At 39.6% G+C, this 22,842-nt stretch overlaps 1 protein-coding gene across 10 annotated transcripts in view; it reads right to left on the reverse strand.

The window, feature by feature from the left end:
- The window catches only part of ST6GAL2 (ST6 beta-galactoside alpha-2,6-sialyltransferase 2), an 85,678-nt gene continuing 65,981 nt past the window's right edge, over positions 3,146 to 22,842 (reverse strand). For 8 of the 10 annotated variants that reach the window (NR_136313.2, XM_011511999.3, NM_032528.3 and 5 more), the window contains one exon: positions 3,146 to 8,495. Coding sequence is in view for 9 of the 10 variants with exons in the window: in XM_011511999.3 (XP_011510301.1) it covers positions 8,224 to 8,495 (272 nt within the window). In the remaining variant the exon portion in view is untranslated. Of the gene's footprint in view, positions 8,496 to 14,621; positions 14,771 to 22,842 lie in introns of those variants that run through there. The other 2 variants (NM_001142352.2, XM_011512001.3) reach the window with 1 other exon arrangement.

Consider the following 22,842-nt stretch of genomic DNA (forward strand, 5'->3'; position numbering starts at 1 on the left):
GGCGGAGGTTGTACTGAGCCAAGATCGCACCATTGCCCTCCAGCCTGGGAAACAAGAGTGAAACTCTGACTCAAACAAAAAAAAGAAAAAAAGGAAAAAAATCATAGAAATTAATGACTCATTCAAAAAGTGATTCGAAAGAGAATTACTGTTAAGTATAAATGTTTTGAGAATAATTTAAATGGTCAGTTTCACACATATTGTGCTTTCCTTTATATCCCTTGGTGATATGTAATGAAAAATCTATGCCTAAATAAGTCTAAAGTGCTTTTTTTTACAAACTTCGAAGTTACTATTGTTTACTGGAAATATAATGTGAGCAGACAATTTTAAATCTTCTAGTAAGCATGTTCAAAGATATAAAAAGGAATGTCAAAATTAATCTCAGTAACATGTTTTTATTTGAAGAAATATATTGAAAATATCAGTTCAACATGTACTCAATATAACAAAGTTATTGAGGTATTTTACATTCACCTTTTCATATTAAGTCTTGGAAGTCCAGCCTGTATTTTCCACTTCACACTTCAATTCAGGACTGGCCACATTTCAACTATGCCAAATTCACACGTGGCTCATGGCTACTGTGCTTCACAGTGCACACCTAAGTGGGACAGGAGACTCATGTTCTAGTTTGATTACGTTTTTATTTGTACTGGGGTGCAAAAGAATGGTGCATTTTATGCTTAGTGATGTCTTAGATTAGATGAAATAGGGTAGTTTTTACCTTGCATTGAAAAGGGGATTTAAGGTAAGAAATAAATTTAGGGAAAAATATTTGTTTCTCACACATACCTACTATGTAGTTTTTGGAAGAAAGTTGTGTGAGAATGCAATTTCTTGCACAATATTCCTAAAAATGAGTTCAGTGAGTCACCATCACTGCTAGCTCTCCGTCTACTTGGGCCCACGTGGGTGGCTGAGGTCCCTGAAATGTCTTCTTCTAGGTTTTCTAGCACCCTCCTGGGCTCTCCCATACCCCCTTTAACCTCTTCATGCCAGCGTTGTTTTAAAAACTAAAGGGCATATTGCTGTTTCTATCTCCTTTTTTTCCCATCCTTGGGATGGTAAGCCAGCAATAACAAGAAAAGACATATTTTCCAAAGTCATTGATTTTTCTTTTGCTTTGACTTTTCTGATCAGCTTCTCACGGGGTTCCTCATTCTTAAGTACTGCTTGTTTCTCCAACATGATACAATGAGCTAGGAGAGTGGCTGGGCATAGAGCTTGTGGAATGTCAATCCTTCCTGGCTGCTTTCTCTATACCACATCAGAGGCACTCTTTATATTGGGCCGTGACAATCACAGAGGCTGCCTTCTTATAACAAAATAATTGTACTTGACTGACACATACAGTTCAGAAAGACTCCGGGGCTCTGGGGATTTAGAGGACTGGAAAAGCCTCTGGAAAAGCCCAATGTTAGTCTCCATAAATTTGAAAGCACAGTTTCTCACAATATTCAAAGTGCAATGATCCTCTGTAGAATTTTTTAGTGTTAGGTCAGCATCCCAGGGCAAGGCTGCTATTAGAAGACTAACACAATGCTCCTGACCAAACGCTTTGAAGCCAGTCAGAGATTGCATGTCTGGCTCTGTCATTTCCTGGCTGTGTGTCACAGGCTGACACCTAACTGCTCTGACTTCAACTTTCCTTGGCTAATATAATACCTATTTTAGAAGGTGGTCTTATGAGGATTACATGTACATCGTCTACCACAAGACCAGCCCAAAGAGTTTTCCACAGATTGTATTCATGATCAGGAGTCAGCAAACTGTTTCTGTAAAAGGCCAGGTAGGCATGGTGGCTGCAAAGTCTCTGTTGCAACTACTCAACTCTACCCTTGTAGGGTGAAAGCAACCATAGACATGTGAATGAATGAGCATGGCTGTGTTCCAATAAAACTTTATTTACAAAAGTAGGCTGTGGGCCAGCCCGTGCTCTAGGCAATGAGGGGCTTGCAAAGATCTAGTGCAGGAGGGCGTTCTCCCTGCCACATTTTGTGCACCAGGGTCTCTTGAACATAGCACTTCAGCGCATTCAGTGGGGTTGACTGGGTATGCCTTTGGTTGTGAGGTAGTTCTGTTTCTGAGTTGATGATTTTGATACGCAAATGGTATCTGGGACCCCTGGACTTACTTTTCACTCCCTCTCACTTTAGCCTTCTCTCTCTCTCTGCTGTTCACTTCACCTCCTTCCCCTAGCTCCTGCTGTCTCTGAGTGCAACGTATCTTATACAATTCCTTTCTCTTCCTCTGAATCCTCCCGGCAGCATCTAGTGCTAATGGACACCAAGTCTTCTGTGTGTGCCCCTCAGAGTCCCTGGAGTATGCGCATGCCTGGCTTCTCCGAGAGCATGGAACAATATCCTTCCAGTGATCCACTCCAGCCCTTCCCGATCAGGGCTGGTGCAGCCATGTCTACCTTTTAATTAGCTGGAAGAAAGTGGTCATCTTGTGGGGAAAGAAACACAACAACAGCATGAAGGTGGTGAGAGTCCTCTCTGATTCAGCACAGCTGTTTGAGGTGATGGATGACTCTGAATTTCCTACCTGCTCACACTGTCCTCGCATCAAAAACCCCAAAGACTTTCTTGATTTGAGGATTTCCTCACATTCTAAACAGAAAGCGCAAATGACCGAGAATTTCTTTCCAGGAGCCTAATTAACTGATTTTCTCTTCATGTCACAAGTATGAAAATACCAAGGCCAATTTGACATTGTGGTGGGTTGTAGGTGACTCAGCTGTCTTTAGGCTTTCCTCGAATAACTTATTTATGTTTTCCAAGACTTAATGCCCTGTCAAGCTGAGGAAGAGTCTCCCAAAGCCATGCATTCATCAAAATCTTGGGTTATTAAGTCAACATCAAGATTTGTTAGCCTAAATATATGCCTTTTCCACTTGATTTCGCCACTTTCATTCTCCGGCATGTGGCCATTAATCCCTGGAAGAAAGAAACCCGCCCACCTGTGGTTTTAGGCCCAGGCTGCGTCCATATTCATGGCTGAAGGCCTGCTGCTGTTCCTTCTGTCGCCACTCAGTCTTCTAATTAGATTTCAGCTTTGCCATTTGTTTTCCTAGGGATGGATTGTTATTTTGCCACTTGCTCATTTGTATGTGTAACTTCTACGAATTAAAACAAGAAACTTCTAGACAAATGAAAACATGTTTTATTTACAAGAAAAAAGTCTGTACATTGTGTATACATAAAAATATACAAAACCAAAATAGAAAATATCCAAGTGTTAAAATGTGTACAAACACTTTTAAAATGCGACTCCTGGAAAACTTCAAGCTTTAATTAGTTTGAAGAGTACACATTTCATTTTAAAAATTATCATACAAAAGAATTCCCAAAGCTGTTAAAAAAGTTCACTGGTTTCCACTGGAAGAATTGTCTAAGTATTTCATCTAGAATAAAACAGGATTTGTTATAAATGTTAGATTTTAACACCACCAATGCAATTTCTTTGTTTCCAATCTACCTAGCAAGAAGACTATTTTCCATAGAACCAGTAAATGTTTCTTCTAATCTTTGAAAGCCATGAGCTACAGCTAAGCTTCCCTTCAAAGTTCAGTGTTAAATCAGGCTTCTGACTAGGATAAAATATTAAGGTAGTGTTCTACCTTCATAGTGCCTTTTAAATAATTCTGTCAGTCCATTTTAATGTAGCCAAGATGTGCAGAGTATGAGTGTGTGGGAAGCGGTTGGCGGAGGACTGAATTTTTTTTCTTTTAACAGAAGGACATATAACATTTGCTTCCTTCTCTCAAAATATTAGTGGTTACATAATTAAAATAAAATTTATTGTAAAGGTTTCAGTCAAAAATATTGATGAAAAAGCAATATAAAACCAACCATGTGTGTAGATATGTATATACACAATTATATAACTATATCTACATGTACACTTTTCATACTAAGAACTAGATCAATGTCTTTAATTCCTTAAATGTCATTAGCTCAAGTTTGAACAGAAACATATTACATTACTTTTTTTTTAACCAAAAGGCTTCATTCATTTAATAAAACAAGAACTTACATTTTATTTCCTTGAACGGACAGAGAAATACCTTTCATTTATCAAGTGTGTAAATAATGCCCATGTGACAGAAACATGCATAATAATCTCATAAGAGAATATCCAGAGATAAAAGACAAGTTGAAACTCAGGGACATTTTACCCAAGCAATTAATTTCCAGATGGAGTTGCCTTGATCAGTCATGTAACCACTGGGTAAGAGTTCTAAACTATCAGAAAGAGTTCTAAACTATCAGAATCAAAACAGACAATACAATAGAACATACTTGGAAGCTACCTGGCCAATAGGTTCACTCATGTCTTTCTGATAATTCCCCTGGTCCCACCTCACTCCCTTTCTCTGTCTCTTACCACAGCTAAGCAGAAATTCAACCAAGTAACTGACCACATGTACTGTGTGTTGATCTATAAGAAAAACTGGAGAGAGAACTTGAATCATGGCATTTGTGCGTATGAAATTCAATCACATACTGGCACTCATCTAAGACTGATCCCACTTAAAGCACCCAAACGGGACCTACCTAATTAATTCAGGAGATGTGTTACTGCTCAGAAGAGTCAATCAGCAGCGTAAGTATGATCTGTCCAGCAGAATTAACTGGCTCATACACATGTAAGAGAGTGACCCAGCTACTTTGATTTCCTAATTTTGAAAACGCTAATGATTATTTTAGCATTTCTTTTTTTGCAGATGCTATGGCTACAATGACTGAGGACTACTGGAGAGTCCAGGATTGATTAAGTGTCTGGCTGAGAGACCAAGAGGACCAGACACATGGGAAGTGCTGTTTCTCGAAGCTCTGCCTTCAGGCAGACAAGGAAAGACCTGGTCGTTCAAAGATGTATAAAAGCCCTCCCTTGCCCATCCAAGCCTGATGCTTACATGCAACTTTTAATTGACCATCCCTTGGTCCTGAGCACAAAGTTCTCTGTAAGAGCAGCTCTATAAGGACATAGTGAGAAAGGTCAGCTCCCTGGGACGAGCATCGGTATTCCATGAGAACACCAGGTCTGTTAAAGGTTACCCGTCTGCCTGGTGTGACTGGCTGGAGAAATAAGGTAGGGAGAATCTAGATATGGTTGAATTGTCATTGCTGCTCAAAATTTGTTTCTTTGTAACAACAACAACAACAACAACAACAACAACAACAACAACAACAACAGGTGAAATTATCTTGAAATACAAAAGAACGTCTGTTGGTCCTGAGAGTGAAAAAAGGAATCCTTAACAGCTTCAGCTTGCACCAAGAGGATTTTTTTTTATCAGCTTCCCTTCATAAGAGAGGATGGAGGATTTTGGAAGAGACAGAACCTGGGAGAAATTCAGTGAGCTGCCACTTACTGTTAACTACTCCACAGAAGAACTATATGTTTATTGGAATTCAGTAAATGTGGCATGTAAGGATTTAGTCAATGTCTGGCAAAATGCTGCCACTTAGGACCCATTTGGCTAATACTAGAAGTAGTCATCAAGTTAACTGTAACTGCCCAACATTTTCTTAGAAGCCAAAGAACTTAAACTTTTATAGAAGAACGCCCAGTCAGTACTATATTAATGTGTGTATTACATTTATTGACTGTTGAACAGAGCCTGATTCCCAAGAGTCTTTAAGGCCATAATAAATGCAAAAATTGTAACTAAATTTCCTTTGTACTCTTCAGTCTTTCTTGTAACCTCAATGAAACTGAAAGTACTATTTTAAAAGTACAATGACTACGACAAAATTCCATTTAAAAATCTTTAAAGTGTTGGGTTCTGAGGCTTTTGAACTTGAATATTTACACTGACCCCAATAAATTCTCCTCTAACCAAGTTCTCATGTCAGCCAAGGGGGATTATGCTGGATAGTAAGGATGTCTACAAGTAAATCCACTTGCAAAACTATAAAAGGAGCTTCAGGGGCATTTAATGGTCTGGAAGATCTAGAAAGATCCAAGGAGGGTAGGGAGTAATATTCATCCACCACAGCCACCTCACCCACATTCCAGAGTTGCTGAAATTATTACACACATGTAAACATAAGGACAAGACAAAGTTTTTTCAAGAAATTAGAAAGGAATGACCGGGCGCGGTGGTGGCTCACGCCTATAATCCCATCACTTTGGGAGGCCGAGGCAGGCAGATCACAAGGTCAGGAGATCGAGACCACCCTGGCTAACACGGTGAAACCCTGTCTCTACTAAAAATACAAAAAATTAGCTGGGCGTGGTGGCGGGTGCCTGTAGTCCCCAGCTACTCAGGAGGCTGAGGCAGGAGAATGGTGTGAACGTGGGAGGCAGAGCTGGCAGTGAACCAAGATCGCACCACTGCACTCTAGCCTGGGCGACAGAGCGAGAGACTGTCTCAAAAAAAAAAAAAAAAAAGAAAAGAAAAGAAATTAGAAAGGAACATGGCTTAACCATGTCTATTTAGACATAAGTTAATATATAGGACAAAGTTACCTATCCCTTCTCATTGACTTAATAACAAAACTCTCAAAATGGGCTTTTATTGGATATTATTGTGATTAAAACTTTCCAATTTCTCCTTCACTATTATAGCAAGCTATAGGAGATGTCTTGTTTTCCAGCTCCATATCTGCTGAATAGACTAACCAAACAGAAGCCTTCAGTCTCTGTAAGCCATTCTTGCTCAAGAAAGTAGTCCTGAGAACAGTCTAGAAGAAACCAATCCTGAAACAAAGAAAACTTTTCCACTAAACTCTCCTGACATTCATACATTTTGCAAGGGAGAACGCATTTAATTAAGCTGCTATTGTCATTGCAACAAGTCTTAACTGTACCATGGAGATATGTTTTGGTTATACATTGAAATAATAGCATGTTTAATTAAGGTATTACAGAATGTTTCTGTTTCACTATATTCATAGCAAAAATTTTTCAATGTATCAGTGACAGTTGAGATTAAAGAAAAAATCAACCCTGAATATAGCTAACATATTGGGATGAAAATTTCCCTCTAGCTGCCTTTCCCTCTGAAGCATCTACATATTTTCCTTGTTAATAAGCAATGCTTTCACATAAATTATTTAATTATATGGCTTTGTCATGCTGCTGACATAAAACATATCTGCAAAAGCAAGGACTGGATTCCTAAATGTCTGTAGGAAGATTTAGTGAAGATTCAGTGCTCATCACTGTGGAGTTCCCACTGGCTGATAAAAACCTGCAAGAAACCTGTATAATAAAGACAGGCGTGCATCCCTAGAAGCACAGGGTGATGGCTCCAAAATCTTTCCTTCTAGTTTGGAAGGAGCAAGGTGTCTCCCGTCTTCCCCAGCACAGCTGTGCCAATTGTCAAGTGTGTCACTGACTATGCAAAAGCTGCAGGGTAGATCTGCAGGTGAGGAGGTACAAGGCAGAAAAGCCAGAACCGGGGAGTGTCCAGGGGCACCTGCAGCCCTGTGATTCTATGTTACTTGCCAGTGATGTGCCTCCTGGTGGATGTGATACTAATGTTCCTGGTTGAAATACTGCAGGGAAACAAAGGGCCTCCTCTGTGGTGCTATATGGAATTTGGCTTTTTCTTGGACCTTTCAAGATGGATGTTTTCTGGTTTTAGAACTCTGTCTTGATGCACAGAAAGCAAAGCATTCAGTGGGCAATGGGAGGCAGAGATGAAGAATGCAACGGTTGGAAATAAAAGCCTTTGCCAGGATGTGCTGGGAATTTTTTGCTGTTAAACACATCTGAGTGATAATTTCAATGTCTGTCATAAAACCTAGGATATTTAATGATGAATGCATGTATAACTGACACACTCGATGCTGTAAATGATGTCCCTCAATTTGAATGTTTCTAAACATAAACCACTTCATATGGTCAGGAACATCACCAAAACCTGTCATTGAAACCAACCCTGATGAGGGGTACTCATGGCAGAAGAATAAGTTGTTAACATTTCTGGAGGTATCATACCCATGGTCATACATGTGTTTTCTTTCTAGCTATCCTTGGTTTTGCATCTTTCTTGAGCCTTATTTTTTTAAAAAAACCATTTCTATGTTCAAAGCAGTAATACATACTCAATGGCTTAGAAAGAGAAGGATTATCATGACCACCACTAAATTACTGTTTAAAGACTCAAAACTACACTGTCTAAAATCTATCTTCAAGTATTCTTTTGTGACTTTGAGTACAACAGTAGTACCTTATTGCACATTGATTCCCAAGAAACCCTTTTTAAGAGTGTGGAATGACTGGACTTGGTGCAGGGCAGTGCACCGCCTGGAAGCCGGGAAGAACCACCTTGCCCTTGCGATGCAAATCCCCCTGCGTGCCCATGTTCAGGCGCTGCACCAGGAGCTTCTCATAGAGTAGTGGGTGGTACGCCCCGAGGGTGCAGGCTGCGTCGTAGTACAGCTCGTGGTAGTGGCACAGCTCCGTCTGCCGCACGGATGGGATATATTCATACACGTGCACCTCTCTGCACATGGACATCATTATGAGGATTCCTGACATGAAAACCAAAAATTAGAACCTAATGAACAACTCCATGTGAGAGGGATGAGTTTTTTGGGGGAGGGGTGGTGGTGATGGGATATGACTGTGGCAAGAGACACTTACTTTTTTGTTGTTGTTGCATTTGCAATGTTATAACTTCCATTAAGTGGTGTGTATGCAGTTCATGGAGTATGGGGGCATATTAAAATGTAACACTATATATATATATATCTATTCGCTCATTTAATTTATCACTGTGGGCCTGGTAAGGAGAGATGAAAAGAAGTCAGTGAACTTGAGGGAACCACACGCTAGTGAAGGACAGATTTGCAACCCCCCAAATCAGAGTTTCCTGTATCACATTCTATACACATGTCCCATCTGGTTTGCAATGATGGGACAGTTATGTTCCAAAGAAACAAATGCCATAAAAACTAAATTATAAAATAGTTGCTTGATTATAAATTGACTATAATACAGTTGTTTGAAAACTTGTAACATAAAACTGTACAATGGATCAGCTCTTATACTATAGTTGTCTGAATGGAAAGAAATGGAGTTAAAGCGACAGAGTTTAAGATTCATATTAACAAAATTATTTTTCTCACTGAACTATCAGTGTTAAACTTTTAATTTTTTAATGTTTCAAATAATCAGCTATAACAGCTAATCATCACTGAGTACATTTTATTCTTTTTTTTTTTTTTTGAGACGGAGTCTCACTGTGTTGCTCAAGCTGGAGTGCAGTGGCGCGATCTCACTGCAAGCTCCCCCTTCCCCGATTCACGCCATTCTCCTGCCTCAGCCTCCCAAGTAGCCGGGACTACAGGCGCCCACCACCACGCCCGGCTAATATTTTGTATTTTTAGTAGAGACAGGGTTTCATTGTGTTAGCCAGGATGGTCTCAATCTCCTGACCTCCTGCTCCCCCCACCTCGGCCTCTCAAAGTGCTGGGATTACAGGCATGAGCCACCGCGCCAGGCCTGAGTACATTTTATTCTTTATCTAGACTAATGGCTTTCTTTCTTTTCTCAACACCACCATGCCACTATTAACTTGAAAGTTAAAAAAAAAGACATCTCTTTTCTGAAAGGGATGTCCCTTGTTATAAAAAACATAAAGCAGCACAGTTATTCTTGTTATAGCCAATATTTATCTGAAGATGACAGTAATATTCCCTAATTAACCAACCATGTGTGCAACACAAAAATCCCATACCAGAGGAGTCCTGTATAAGGGACACTGGGAGAGAAGAGAGAAAGGGCCTAATTTTGCTGAGGGGTTCCAGAAAGGCTGCCCAAAGGTGGAGAAGTGTGAAGCTCAAGGGGCTGCCTGGTGGACAAGGGGTAGAAGGAAACAGGAGAGGGGATACTGCTCCAGAGTCAGCAAGGATAGCTTGTGTAGTAGATGTCAGAGTCATGATATGGTATCATAGTTGAGAGTAAAACACACTCCTAACAAAGACAAGGGGATTATGCACTTCAAATTCTATGCAGTCAAGTTGCTCTCAAGAGCGATGGTCAGAACCTCAAGTTACTGGGTCAATTCCTCTTGTTTTTCTCCCAGGTCCCTCTACCAGTTTCCTTCCTTCTTCCATGGCTGCCTGGCTGCTGCCCCTCCCTTAGATCAGCCTAAAGCACTGTGATTCAGGCATTCGGGTGGCACCAATTGAGGAAAAGGAAGCAGTACCCCCCAGATGCTCGAAATGTCTGCACCCATGGAGAAACATGAGTGCAGTGGTCAAAAGTCTGCCTCCTGATTAGTAATGACTGCTCTCAAACATTTTTTCTCCCCTGTATAAAATCATATACAAGGAATTCACATGGTGAATGACATCTGCCCATGGAGAATTAAATTCTTTTATTTCCAGTCACTTGCCGACATGGTGAAATCCCATCTCTACTAAAAATACAAAAAACTAGCTGGGCATGGTGGCATGTGCCTGTAATCTTAGCTACTTGAGAGACTGAGGCAGGAGAATCACTTGAGCCTGGGAGTTGGAGGATGCAGTGAGCCAAGATTGCACCACTGGACTCCAGCCTGGGCAACAGAGCAAGACTCTGTCTCAAAACAAAACAAAACAACCCACAAAAAAACCTTAAACAAACAAGAAGTGCTCTGGTGTGAATGTTCTCTGGTGGCTGAAGTTTTCCCAGAGCCTGTGTCTGTGGAGCTGAGGACGGCTTCATGTTTTCTAATCAGGGGCTACAGACCAAGTTGCTGTGCACTGCCCAGCATTGGGGGCTCCCCATCTCCTGGGCATGACATCTGCTCTGCCAGCTCTGCACAAGGAATCACGCTGAAGGGGGTGGACTTCATCACGGGCATCATTAATCAATATATTTATTACAACACTTTGCTTGCACATGGCAGGGGGGTGGCTTCAAGAGTGTCTTTTACACAAAGTCACTGTATAACCTAGCAGTGGAACTGTACCCAGAAACCACAGTTCTTTGCTACTTGGGCATTTCTATGAGCTAATAACACAATGGCGTCCGTAAGGACTGGAGTCAGTTGTGTTGGAGTTGTGACCTTTGCAACTCTGGTTCTTAAACTGGATGGTTTTCAAAAGCCAATCTTATACTTAGGGGAGTATGTTAGCTGTGCAGTTGGTCCTCCCCATAAAGCAGTAGTCCTCAAAGTTCAGCATGGAAAAGAATGACACAGGCAGCTTGATCAAATGCAGGTTCCTGGGACTTGTCTTCATTTCCAGAAATTCAGGTTCTATTGGTTTGTGCTGGGGTCCAGGAATCTGAACTTTTAACAAGCGTTCCCTTTAGGTGAAAGGCCAGTTAGAGAAAAGTTCCAACCTATCACAGACCAATGCTTTTGTAAAATACCATAATGAGGAACTACGAGAAAAATGATCAACTATTTGGATGCCATGGCTATGTGAAATTGCTATAAGGTGTCTAAATCCTTCCATTTTCTACACGAATCTAGTTGTAGACCAGTAACACACGTTCCTGGACCAGTGCTGGTCTACTCTCCATGCTTTAAGGACCAGGTTGTTTTAACACACATATTTTTTGAAAACTGCTGAGGAATCCCTAAGTTCTCTCATAGGTAGCAAGACATTCTGCATGTTGACAGCTGATCTAGATTTGAACTGCTACCAAATCCAAGTAACTCTGGGGAGCTTCCCTATACATCCTTGCTATCCTCTTAGACTCAAAGAGCTATCAGATGCTTGAATCTGATTGTTTTTCCAGAGAAAAATTTTATCCTTGCTGCTAGTTAACCGTTAAATCGTGTTATCTGCTAAATATACAATATAGATTTTGTCATAGACTATGCAAATAGTTATGCTTTCAATATATGTAAATAGGCACACTTTTAGTATTTTCTTATATAAGTACTCTATATTTAAAAAGAACTTCTTCAGCTTCAGAAATAGAGGGATTTGTCAGTTAGCTCATGGCAGTCCAAATTGAAAGCCAATAGATCCTATGAAAGTGGGTGTTTGTCCTGAGTTTTCTGCACAGTTCTTCCTGATCTTTGCCTATCAGATAGAGATTTAGCAACAATGATTTCTCCATCTTGTTTTGTAGTCTCATGAATTGGTGGCTTCCTGAAACTATGAACCATGGCTTGGAGCATCCTAAAATTAAACAGTAGAATCTACCCTGAGTGTTTAGGCGGCAGCCAGCTGCAGCCACTGATACGGAATTGGTATGGAGGCATCTTCCAAAAAAAAGGAAAAAAATAATTTAAAACTCACTGTGGAGTAGGGCGTGCAGTGGCTCACGCCTGGAATCCCAGTACTTTGGGAGGTCAAGGCAGGTGGATCACTCAAACCCAGGAGTTTGACACCAGCCTGGACAACATGGTGAAACCCCGTCTCTACAAAAATATACAAAATATCAGCCAGGCATGGTGGCTCGTGCCTGTGGTCGCAGCTACTCAAGAGGCTGAGGTGGCAGGATCACCTTAGCCCAGAGGTTGAGGCTGCAGTGAGCCATGATTGTGCCACTGCACTCTCATGCTCACTGAGCGACAGAGTGGCATCCTGTCAAAATAAATAAATAAATAATAAAACTAGTAATAATAAAACTGTGTAATGTGAAAGGCAGACAAGGAGGTTTATGGTGCCAAAGACGTAGAATATTCTTTAACATTTTAACTTTTTTTTTCAGGCAGCATGATCAATTCATTTAGCATATGCATACTTAGTCTTTTAATTTTCTTTAAGGCTGTTGTTATACATAAATTTGAGTTTAGATTCAGACTCTGTCATATAATAAATAGTGAAAATTATTAGTATTAAATTTGATTCCATCTACATATCAATTTTCCTAAGAGTTAATAATAGTACTTAGCAATACACAAACACCTGAAGAATAAATTTCTTCATACTTTGCAAAAGAGAACTAGGTAGATGTCAATGTTTGGACATACATAACAATAGCTCTTACATGGTTCAGAATGGGGTAGGTGGGGAGTAGATACTGCAGGCAGACAGGACGGGGACAGGATTAGGGAAGAATAGAGTCTTTAAGTGCTGTTTGAGGCCTCCTCAATTAAATTCAACATCTATCAAGCTGACCACGGTACTAATCATTGGCAATTTAGAGCACCTTTCTTTAAAAAGGTAAAGATATTAAATAAAACTAAAGATTTCACCTTTAAATTTAAAGACAGTAGAAGGCCCATGACCATTCTTAGGATGGCTTGAAGAAAGTATCCTAAACGTCATACTGAGAAAAATGTTTATGAACTACCACCAGATCTCTTCTGCAATGCCCCAATGCTGAGCCTTGTCATTCACAAATGACTACCAACAGCACACAGCTCTCAAATGAACTCTGAGTCACCACCATTAAGGTCCTGTGTCAGTTCCCAACACACCCCTAGGTTCAATGATTCAATAGGAAGACCCAGAATCTAGCATAGGGTTTTACTCACGATGATGATTTATACAAAATGATACGAAGCAAAATCACCACAAGGAAGAAGTGTACAGGGTAAAAAGTCCAGGGGAACCAGGTGCGAGCTTCAAGAATCCACTCCCAGGGAGTGGCACAGGGACTGAATTCCCCCAGCAATGAGTTGTGACCACTGCTACGAACTGAATGTGTCTCCATCCCCACTCACAGGTTGAGATCCTTCCTAATCCTTAATGTGATGGTATTAGGAAGTGAGGCCTTGGGAAGTGATTAGGTCACGTGAGTGGAGCCCTCATGAATGGGATTAGCGCCTTTGTAAGAAGAGATGTTGTGGAGATGATTTCTCTCTGCAATAACACCATGTGTGGAACCAGCAAGAAGGCTCCGTCTCTGAATCAGGAAGAGAGGCCAAACTGACCAGCGCCTGCTCTCTAACGTCTCACCTCCAGAACCATGAGAGAGAAATTTCTGTTGTTTAACACATCCAGTCTATGGTATTTCTTATAGCAGCCAGAAATAATGGAGACAACAACACAAATGAAATTTTGCCAACCAGGGAAGCTTTTGAGAGACTCAGTACTCAGTGTTTCTATTTGAAACTGGTCATGTCAGCAGTCTCTGCCTGGCATGTACTAAAATTCCAGACTCTCGGAAGGAAAGCAAGTATCCAGCATAAACCACATTTCTTGCATAAACAGCACACACATAGTGAACCACGCTTATCAGTTAGAGGGGTGGGAACCTTCCCAAAAAATCCAAGTTCCCAGACATCAGCCAAGGGCCAGTCTTATAAGCAGGCCTTCCTGAGGATAAGCAGTCAAGCTGGCGGTGTTGTCTTTTCTGCCCGGATACCATATATGCACAAATTCAAAGTATCACATTACTTTGTAATCATTTCCCCATGCCAGACTGATGTGGGGAATTTACATCTGGTTATGCTAAAAATGTTATTGATTCTTTTTTTATTTCCTCTCTTATGTCTGCTCAGGACTACATAAAATGCAAGAAGAATACAAATCATCTAATAACATGCAATTCAGTAAAGGACAGCTTTTAAAAAGCATTTAAGAAACTTTTATGTTAAGTAATTTTGTTTAAGAACTACAAAAAATTAACAACTTTATCACTAATGAAAGTTTTACTGCTTTCAACATGAGGCTGGACTTTTTGATAGGCAGATCAAGATTTAGACACGTTTTAATGTATTTTTTCAAGCCAATCAAATGGGTATGGGGCCAGCTGTTTTGAATCTTTAAACAGTATGAATGTTAAGTTTCTTATATGGCCAGTTTTTTTTTTTTTTTTGAGATGGAGTCTCACTCTGTCGTCCAGGCTGGAGTGCAGTCGCGTGATCTCGGCTCACTGCAAGCTCTGATATGGCCAATTTTTACAAATGAGCCTATATGAGGGATTCATTTGAAGAAAATAAGTATTAGTATTTTCTAGGCAATTGTGACTCAAGAGGCATTCATTTGCTGAACTGTATGCTTTTAAACATCATATAACGCAAGATAATTATCAAACCATTTAAAAAGCATTTCTACTGGTTTTGATAAAATGTCATGTTATATGATTCAGCATAATAAGCAGAATGGGCACTTATTTATTTGCTCCAAAACCTGAATAAAAGGCAAACTTTAACACATGTTCAGATTATCACAAATTCTAGATGACTGAGGTTTCCTTTATACATCTTTAATTGGCATATATAGATATATTTGATGTGTTATCAGAGTCTAGTATAATCATTTAGCATTTAGCTTAATTGTGGTTATGCCAAAACTATCTTGTTTTCCACTTGGCAGAATATTTAAAATAACATCCCAAATCATTGAGAAAAACAAAATTTTCTCCTTGATGAAAATAGCCTTTCATTAAATAGCAAAATGAGCTCTGGATATAAAACAGAACATAATACAAGTAACAGGAAAACTACCAGTTTAAATCAATTCTAATAAACACTTGAACATAACTCACACATGAAGTAAATTAGCAGTTTCTAAGAGTCACCAATAGAACACTGCAGAACACTTTTCCGAATGAGGGGTGAGGGTGAAAGGCTAAGTGTATTAAATATGCCAGACTAACAGAACTCTAGGAGCTGTTTTGTGGTTTCTCCTTAAATTCAATCATAAAATGGAAAATAATGACAGCTACACTTGAGATTCTTAAAGAGATAAAAGTGACTTTTTAAGTGGTAGTTCTAGAAAATATTTGTAACTAAAAGATGGTTTGGAAATTTGAACCTGATGTAATTTAAGAAGACTCTACCACCCTAAACAAAATAGTATAATGCAAGAATAATACTGGAAGGTCAATTTTTAGCTCATTTACACTGCATTATTTGTTGTTATCACACACTCAGGATTCATTATTTACAGGAAAATACAAAAAGTTGTTCCTAACCAACAAAACTGTGACACATTTGACACGATCCTAAATATAGATGTTAAGTAGCTTATTATTTTGTGTTAATGTTCTGAGTTTGGGTGACACATTAAAAAATGAGATTCCAAAAGCCAATATAAAATGGAAAAGAAAGAAGTTATGATGTGTTTTTAAGCCTATTATTCTTGTGCATCTATAAATTGGCCTGAAATTACAGTGTTTGCACCTGTAAGCTTCAGAAATATTAGTTACAATATTACGAGTAGTGTTTGCGTTCAAAAAAAAAAAAAAGGCAAGGTGGGGGTGTTGCTGGCTTCTGCAATAAAAAGAATTGGCAATTGTACCTTAAAAAGGAGTTCCACGTCTATGTGTATGTTGGGCAGAGGCCCTGGCTACAAGGCCTGTCTGCCTGTTAACACTCAGGCTGGGAGCCGGGGTGGGTGAGGCTGGTGCCTGCTGGTGTGCCTGGATGCCCTACTGCATGCAGGTGGCAAACCCATCCAGCTGTGCATGAAGACCCCAGGTGAGATCACTCACCTATAAAAATATGTCATTACGTGGGCAAAATAGAAGCTACAGGACTCCAAGTAAATTATTCCTTATCCTCAGTCAGGCACAGTCAAAATGACTTCATTGCACTGAATAACAAGATAAAATCTCTAGTATCTGACTAGGGATGAAAGAGAGAAATGCTCTTCATATGTGAACAAGTAGCTCCCAATGGGCTGAGTGTAAGGAAGCTAATGAGATGGAGAAGTTGTTCCAAAGAAACGAGTCCTTATGGATCATCTAAATTACCCTGATTCATGTTACATCTTTTTAGTTTTAAAAATACATGTGCAGTCCAATAATAGGTGTATGAATTCCTTTATTGCTTCTCTAGAGAAGGAGATAGTACATGTAACACAATCCAATATATCTACTAGTGTACTTTCTTCTGTGAACCCAGAGGACAAATATGGAGTCTAATTAGAAACTCAACTACATAATTCTTGGGAAAGCAATATGTCAGCTCTTATCAATAATCACCAGAATGCCATACCCTTTGCACTGGCACTAATACTCCTGGGAATTTATCTTAAGGAAATAGTTTAAAGAAAAGTCTATATAGTCACTTACTGCACATAATTTGTATGAGTACATACATAGAGTAATGACTTGTCAACATAATTGTTTGATAATATCAAGCACTCTGAAACAACCAGAATATCAACAACTAAACAAAGGCATATATTATGATACACCTGTTTGATGTAATTATATGATCTCTGTAATAGCAAGGAAAACAAAAGTCTATTTTCACCTTGATTATAGGTCTTAATGAAAGAACAGTCCTTTTCTGTTTGGGAAAGAGTCTTATTTGACCTATTATACATTTTCAGATGACACGCATTACAATAACAGCAAATAGTAAACATTAGTTATTGTGTTTAGGCACATGATAATTCAAAGCTAAAGGTACTATCAGTATCTTCATTTTACAGATGAAGGAACTGGGGTTTGGAGATGCTAAGTAACTTGTTCAAGGTCATATAGCTACTCAGTGGTAGGGCCAAGACTTGATTCTGGTCTCTGTAGAATCTAAGGTCTTAGCCACAGTGCACACATAAAGTGACAGGCCAGGAGGGTGGCCACCCTTCTACATATGAGACCAGTTAAATCAAAGGTGAGAGTCTATAAGATGACATCAATCACAGCCTCCCATTCATTCATTTGTTTTTTCAATCAGGGAACACCATGCACTGTGCTGTGCTGCTTCACAGTGAGGGAGCCTTGTTCATTACAACAACGTTAAAATCTGGATGTGCTCAAGATTTGGAAGGGTATACACTAAAATAAAGTCAGGATGGCAGTACCAGAAAAGGAGGTGGAGTTATTTGGTGTTTTTAAAATTGTATAAACATTTAGTTATATTACTATTTTGCTTCTTTTTATAAGGACTGCAAAGTTCTAGGAGATTATCCCAAAAGTTGCAAAGAAAAACTAATAAAGTAAGGCAGAGTCATTCTCTTCCTTAAGGTTTGGTGAAAGCTTTGGACACATACTTATGTGAGGATAAATAGTAATTCTAAACCTCCTCAGCCTTACATACGTTAATAAAATGGGATTTGTTAAAAAGCTAGTCAGGTTTTTACTGAATTCCAAGAAATAATCTTGATACTAAAAGTCAAAACATATTTGCAAAGTTATGGTTTAAGTGTTTTGAAAAATAATTATCAATAATTGATATGCAACTTTGACTCAGGTTTCCATGATTAATTGCAGTAAATAGTCAACTCTAATAATGATTCTTCAGAATATTTTGTGAGGTGGAGTTGCTCAGTAATAACAAAAACCTGATGTTAAAAACACAGAAAACAAGATTTAAAAATATTAATTTAGAAATTTGAGAGGGCTAACTTCAGTACACATTAGTTTTAAAACCTTAATAAGGATATAGGGAGGCAGAGCAAGATGGCCGAATAGAAGCCTCCACCAATTAATTGTCCTGCCAGCAGGAACACCAAAGTCAACAACTATCCACACAAAAAAAGCATCTTCGTAAGAACCAAAAACCAGGCGAGTGATCACAGTACCTGGTTTTAATTTTCTATCACTGAAAGGAGCACTGAAGAGAGTCGGAAACTCAGTCTTACCTTGCCAACACCGTGCCTCCTCCATCCCCCAGCAGGGAGGAGAATCTGTGCACTTGTGGGGAGGGAAAGTGCAGTGACTGGGAGACTTTGCAATGGAACTCGGGGCTGCCCTGTTACAGCAGAAAGCAACACCGGGCAGAACTCAGCCAGAACCTATGGAAGGAGCATTTAGACCAGCCCTGGCCAAAGGCAAATCATCCATCCCAGTGGTCACAACCTGAGTTCTGGCAAGCCTCGCCACCAGGGGCTAAAGTGCTCCTGTGTCCTAAATAAACATCAACGGCAGTCTAGGCCACAAGGACTTCCATTCCTGGGCATGTCCTAGTGCTGTGCTGGGCTCAGAGCCAGTGGACTTGGAGGCATGTGACCTGGCGAGACACAAGCTAGGGCAGCCAAGGGAGTGCTTGCACCACTCTTCCCCCAACTCCAGGCAGCACAGGCTGCACCTCTGGAAGAGACTCCTTCCTTCCTTATCAGGAGAGGAGAGAGAAGAGTAAAGAGAACTTTGTCTTGCAACTTGGATACCAGCTCAGCCACAGTAGGATAGGGCACCAGATAGAGTCCTGAGGCCCCCATTCCAGGCCCTAGCTCCTGGCTGACATTTCTAGACACATCTGAGCCAGAAGGGAACCTGCTTCATGGAGAGAAGGACTCAGTCCTGGCAGGATCCATCATCTGCTGACTAAAGAGCTGCTGGGTCTTGAATAATTAGCAGTGGTACTCAGGCAGTACTCACTGTGGGCCTTGGGTGAGACTCAGAGCCATGTTGGCTTCAGGTGACACTCAGCATTTTCCCAGTGGTGGTGGCTACAGGGAGGGACTCCCGCTTGAAAAAAGGAAAAGGAGGAGTAAAGGGCACTTTGTCTTGCAGCAAAGGTACCAGCTTGGGCAAAGTGGGTTAGAGCACCAAGCAGGCTCCTGGGGTGCCAGATTCCAGGCGTTGGCTCTCACACAGCACTTCTTGACCTGCCCTGGGCCAGAGGGGAGCCCCCTGCCTTGAAAGGAGAATCCCAGGTCTGGTAGCATTTACCATAAGCTGACTGAAGAGTCCTTGGGCCTTAAATGTACATTGGTGGAAGCCAGGCAATACTCACTGTGAGCCTGGGCTAGTAGTGGCCATGGGAGACACCCCTCTGCTGTGAAAAGGGGAAAGAACAGTGGGGAGGACTCTGTCTTGTGCCTTGGGTGCCAGGTCAGCTGCACTAAATACAATACCAGGTAGAATCCTAAGTTTCCGACTCTAGGCCCTGGCTCCCAGATGGCATCTCAAGACCCACCTGGGGCCAGGGGGAACTCACTAGCCTGAAGGGAAGGACACAAGCTGGCTGGCTTCATCATTTGCTGATTGTAGAGCCCTAGGACATTGAGTGAACATAGGCAGTAGCCAGGCAGTGGTTACCATGGTCCTTAGGTGAGAGCCAGTGCTATGCTGGCTTCAAAACTTATCCAGTACAGTCCCAGTGATGGTGGTCACAGAGGTGCTTTTGTCCCCCCTTCCCCACTCTAGGCAGCTCAGCACAGAGGGAAAGACTCTGTTTGTTTGAGAGAAAGTGAGGGAAGAGAACAAGTCTCTGACTGGCAATCCAGAGAATTCATCTGGATCTTATCCAAGACCACCAAGGCAGTACCTCTACAAGTCTGCAAGGGCCACAGTGTTACTGGGCTTGGGGTGCCCCTTAATGCAGATACAGCTGAAGTGACCAAAAACTTAGATCATAATACCATACTCAACTCCTTTCAAAAACCTAGAAAGCCTTCTCAAAAAGGTTAGATACAAACAAGCCCAGACTGTGAAGACTACAATAATACCTAACACTTGAATGCCCAGACACCAGAAAACATCCACAAGCCTCAAAACCATCCAGGAAAATGACCTCATCAAACAAATTAAATAGGGCATCAGTGACCAATCCCACAGAGACAGAGATATGTGACCTTTGAACAGAAAATTCAAAATAGCTGTTTTGAAGAAACTCAGTGAAATTCAAGATAACAGAAAGAAGAAATTCAGAATCCTATCAGATAAATTTAACAAAGAGATTGAAATAATCAAATACAATCAGGCAGAAATTCCAGAGTTGAAAAATGCAATTGACATACCAAGGAATGCATCAGGGTCTCTTAATAGCAAAATTATTCAAGCAGAAGAAAGAATTCGTGAGCTTGAAGACAAGCTATTTGAAAATATATAGTCAGAAGGGACAAAAGTAAAAAGAATAAGAAAGAATAAAGTACACCTGCAGGATCTAGAAAATAGCCTCAAAAGGACAAACCTAAGAGCTATTTGTCTTAAAGAGGAGGTAGAGCAAGATATAGGGGTAGAAGGTTTATTCAAAGGGATAATAACAGAAAACTTCCAAAACCTAGAGAAATATACCAATATTCAAGTACAAGATTATAGAACACCAAGCAGATTTAACTTGAAAAAGAATACCTCAAGAAATTTAATAACCAAACTACCAAAGGTCAAGGATAAAGAAAGGATCCTAAAAGCAGCAAGAGAAAAAAAAAACAAATATTAATAACATACAATGGAGCTCCAATATGTTTGGTAGCAGACTTCTCAGTGGAAACCTTACAGGCCAGGAGAGAGTGGCATGACATATTTAAAGTGCAGAAGGAAAAACAAATACACTTTTATCCTAGAATAGTATATCCAGCAAAAATATCCTTCAAACATAAAGGAGAAATGAAGACTTTCCAAGACACACAAAAACTGAGCGATTTCAACAAAACTAGATATATCCAACAAGAAATGATAAAGGGAATTCTTCAATCTGAAAGAAAAGAATGTTAATGAGCAATAAGAAATCTGAAGGTACAAAAGGTACTCACTATATTAAGTACATAGAATATTATAATAATTATAGCCTGTAAACTATTCATATCTTGAGTAGAAAGACTGAAAAATGATCAAACATAATAACTATAACAACTTTTCAAGATACAGACATTAAAAAAAGATATAAAGAGAAACAACAAAAACTTAAAAAGTGGGAGGACGACACAAATGTAGAATTTTTATTGGTTTTCTCTTTATTTATGCAATTGGTTTAAAATAATGAATTGAAGATATTATTTGCCAACCTCATGGTAACCTCAAATTGAAAAACACACAACAGGTACACAAAAAGTAAAAAGCAAGAAATTAAAATACCACCAGAGAAAATCACTTTCACTAAAAGGAAGACAAGAAGGAAGGAAAGAAGAAAGAGGAGACTGCAAAAGAATCAGAAAACAACAAAATGGCAGGAGTAAGTCCTTACTTATCAATAGTAACACTGAATGTAAATGGCCTGAACTCTCCAGTCAAAAGACACAGAGTGGCTGAATGGATAACAAAACAAGACCCAATGATCTATTGCCTACAAGAAACACACTTCACCAATAAAGAGACACATAGACTGAAAATAAGGAGATAGAAAAAGACATTCCATGCTAATGGAACCCACCTCCCAACTAAAAGCAGGGGTAGCTACACTTGTATCAGATAAAATAGACTTCCAGCCAAAAACCTATAAAAAAAAGACAAAGTAGGTCATTATATAATGATAAAGGGGTCAATTTAGCAAGAAGATATAGCAATTGTAAATATATTTTGGACCCAACACTGGAGAACTCAGATCCATAAAGCAAATATTACTAGAGCTAAAGAGAGAGCTAGACCCCAAAATAATAAAGGCTGGAGACTTTAACACCCCACTTTCAGCATTGGACAGGTCATACAGACAGAAAATCAACAAAGAAACATTAGACTTAATCTGTATCACAGACCAAATGGACCTATAATTATTTACAAAACATTTCATCCAATGGCTGCAGAATACACATTCTTTTCCTCAGCACCTGGGTAATTCTCAAGGGTAGACCATATGTTAGGCCACAAAACAAGTCTTAAAAAATTTGAAAAAACTGAAATTGTATCAAGTGTATTCTCTGACTACCATGGAATAAAACTAGAATTAACAAGAGGAATTTTGGAATTAAAAAGATGAATTTTGGAAACTATATAAACACATGAAAATAAAATGGTATGTTCCTGAATGACCAGTGGTCCAGTGAAAAAATTTAGAAAAAAAATTTAAAAGTTCCTTGAAACAAATGATAGTGAAAACACAACATACCAAAACCTATGAGATAAAGCAAAAGTAGTACCAAGAGGAAAGTTTATAGCTATAAGCATCTACATAAAAAAGTAGAACAACTTCAAGTAAACAACCAAATGATGTATCTTTAAAAAGCAGAAAAGCAAGAGCAAACCAAAACCAAAATTAGTAGAAACAATAGAGATCAAGCAAAATAAATGAAATTGAAATGAAGAAAATGATACAAAGGTCAATGGAACATAAAGTTGGCTTTTTGAAAAGATAAACAAAATTGAAAAATATTTAGCCAGATAAAGATAAAAAGAAAGAAGACCCAGATAAATAAAGTTAGAGATGAAAAA

The sequence above is a fragment of the Homo sapiens genome, chromosome 2, assembly GCF_000001405.40.
Source record: "Homo sapiens chromosome 2, GRCh38.p14 Primary Assembly".
Classification (NCBI taxonomy): domain Eukaryota; kingdom Metazoa; phylum Chordata; class Mammalia; order Primates; family Hominidae; genus Homo; species Homo sapiens.